The sequence below is a fragment of the Homo sapiens genome, chromosome X, assembly GCF_000001405.40.
Source record: "Homo sapiens chromosome X, GRCh38.p14 Primary Assembly".
NCBI classification, from domain to species: domain Eukaryota; kingdom Metazoa; phylum Chordata; class Mammalia; order Primates; family Hominidae; genus Homo; species Homo sapiens.
The window spans coordinates 65,771,491-65,774,663 of record NC_000023.11 but is presented as its reverse complement, the minus strand read 5'-3'; the positions used below and the strand labels follow the sequence as shown (position 1 = coordinate 65,774,663).

Here is a 3,173-nt window from a genome sequence, read left to right as displayed (position 1 = left end):
AATAAGGAATACTATTTCAAAAGTTACACTGAAAAATTTGACAAGAAAAAGGACCAATTTCTTAAAAATCTCAAACTTCCAAAATTCAATAAAGATGAAATGTGCAATCTGGATGTTTCTATAATTATTAACAAAATTGAAATATTAATTTAAAAGTTCCTGAATGAAAAATCTATAGGATCAGATGGTTTCACTACAGAATTCTTACAAATGTTTAAAGTAGAATTAACACTTATTTTACACAAACTCTTCCAGAAAATAGAAAACACTACTCAATTCATCTTATAAAGCTAGTATTACTTTAAAACCAAAATCAGTCAAAGACAGTGCAAACCAAGAAAAGTATAGACCAGCATCTTGTAAACTTAGATGTGGAGATCTTCATTTGAATTTAAGTAAATCTAATCCAACAGTCTATGTCGTAGTTTCATTCAGGCTGCTATAACACAGTACTATAAACTAGGTAGTTTATAAATAATACAAATTTATTTTTCATAGCTCTAGACACTGGAAAGTCCAACATCAAGTCACCAGCAGATTCATTGTCTAGTGATGGCCTATTTTCTGACTGAAAGATGGCACATGATTGAAGAAGATAGCTAGCTCCCTGGGGTCTTTTATGAGGGCACTATTCCCAATAATGAGGGTTTTGCCTTCATGATCTAATCACCTTCCAAAATTCCCCACCTCTTAATGGCCTCAACTTAGTGACTAGATTTCAACATATGAATGTTGGAGGGACACAAACTTTCAGACCACAGCAGTCTATAAAAAAGAATAATACAACATAAAAGCATAAGAGTTAGTCTATGTCTGCAGAGTTCTTTCAATATTTAAAAAGCTGTTTTGCTAGACTGAGCTGGTTGCCTCCTGCTATTGTGGAGGTGACTCACTTCATCCCAACTTCTTGATACTTTTGCTTCTGGAGGTCATATTTCTCTAAGATCTTCCAGAAAAAAAGTCTTAAAGCCACCCTAGTCTTTTTTCCAGTCCAGCTCTTAAATTTTTTCTCCTCTTCCCCAATAATAACATGAGTGTGGATTCAGCTTGTTCACAAAGCCTGCCTTTCTCTGAAGCATCCGACTGTAAAGACTTTTCACCTACACCTGTAATTTGTGGGCCTGAAGAAAACTATCCATCCTTGCAAATGTCTTCTGCTGAGATGCCTCACACAGAGACTGTCTCTCCTCTTCCTTCCTCCATGGATCTGCTTATTCAGGACAGCCCTGATTCTTCCACCAGTCCCAAAGGCAAGCAACCCACTTCTGCAGAGAAGAGTGCCACAAAAAAGGAAAACAAGGTCCCAGTCAAGAAACAGAAGACCAGAACTCTGTTCTCTTCCAACCAGCTGTGTGTACTCAATGATAGATTGCAGAGACAGAAATACTTCAGCCTCCAGCAGATGCAAGAACTTTCCAACATCCTGAACCTCAGCTACAAAGGTGAAGACCTGGTTCCAGAACCAGAGGATGAAATCTAAGAGGTGGCAGAAAAACGACTGGCCAAAAAATAGCAATGGTGTGACTCGGAAGGCCTCAGCACCTACTTACCCCAGTCTCTACTCTTCCTACCACCACGGATGCCTGGTGAACACGACTGGAAACCTTCCAATGTGGAGCAACCAAACCTAGAGCAATTCAACCTGGAGCAACCACACCCGGAACATCCAGTCCTGGAACACTCAGACCTGGTGCACCCAGTCCTGGAACAATCAGGCCTGAAACACTTCCTTCTATAACTGTGGAGAGGAATCTCTGCAGTCCTGCATGCAGTTCCAGCCAAATTCTCCTGACTTGGAGGTTGCCTTGGAAACTGCTGGGGAAAGCCATAATGTAGTACAGCAGACCACTAGGTATTTTAGTACTCCACAAGCCATAGATTTATTCCTAAAGTACTCCACAAACATGCAACCTTAAGATGTGTGAACATGAGTGAAGTTGCTATTACTCAATTTCAGTCTGGGCACTGACTGAATCCTTCCTCTCCCCTCCCCTCCCTCATAGGATTTTTGTTGTTTGGAAACCATGTGTTCTGGTTTCCATTATGCCTATCCAGTCAATTTGATGGAGGGTGGGGTATGCTTGGAGCCTACTCAGAGAGGTTTCTTTCTTTTTTCCTATTAGATCTTCCTGGAGAAAAGACATTTTAATAACCTTGGCTGCTAAGGACAACATGATAGAAGATGTCTCTGGCTATAGATAAGTAGATCTAATACTAGTTCGGATATCTTTAGGGTTTAGAATCTAACCTCAAGAATAAGAAACAAAAGTACAAATTGGTGTGATGAAGGTATATTCCTACTGTTTGGGATTGGGCTTTACTTATTAAAAAAAAAAAAAAAACTCTGTCGAGGCCAGGTGCGGTGGCTCATGCCTGTAATTCCAGCACTTTGGAAGGCCAAGTCAGGCAGATCACCTCAGGTTAGGAGTTCAATACCAGTCTCGTCAACATGATGAAACCCCATCTCTACTAAAATAAAAAAATTAGCCTGGCATGGTCTCAGGTGCCTATAATCCCAGCTACTCGGGAGGCTGAGGCAGGAGAATCACTTGACCCCAGGTGGTGGAGGCTGCAGTGAGCCAAGATAGAGCCACAGCAATCCAGCCTGGGTGACAGAGCCAGACTCCGCCTCAAAAAAATAAATAAATAAAATGAAATAAAATAAAATAAAAACTCTATGGAGGTGAAGGGTGAAGGATTGAGGTGAAGAGTGAAGGGTTATGCTGTAACATACTTCATTGATTTCCTCAGCCCTTTATGGCTCTGTCTTACTATGCCCCCTATTTTGTTGGTTATGCTAATATTTGTGGAAAGAGGTCTTGCATTTGCTGCATTATAATGACATCAGTACTACTTTGGCTGCTTTAAGTACAAATAAATAAAACAACCATTTTTCCTTTAAAAATATTTAAAAAGCAACACATGTAGTATCAATGGGCTAAAGAAGAAAAATTGTATGATCATATTAATTGATAGAGAAATAACATTAAACAAAACTCAATAACCATTAATAATAAAAACTCTCAGCAAACTAGGAATACAGAGAAATCTGATACAGAGTGTCTACATTATACATACAGTTGACATGATATTTAATAATTAAAGACTGAATACTTTCCCATGAAATTGGGAACAAATCAAGAATGCTCACTCCCTGTAATCCCAGCACTTTG

General features: G+C 39.3%; 1 pseudogene; it reads left to right on the top strand.

Annotated features, from left to right (window-relative positions):
• Positions 832-2,901, top strand: NANOGP9 (Nanog homeobox pseudogene 9; annotated as a pseudogene).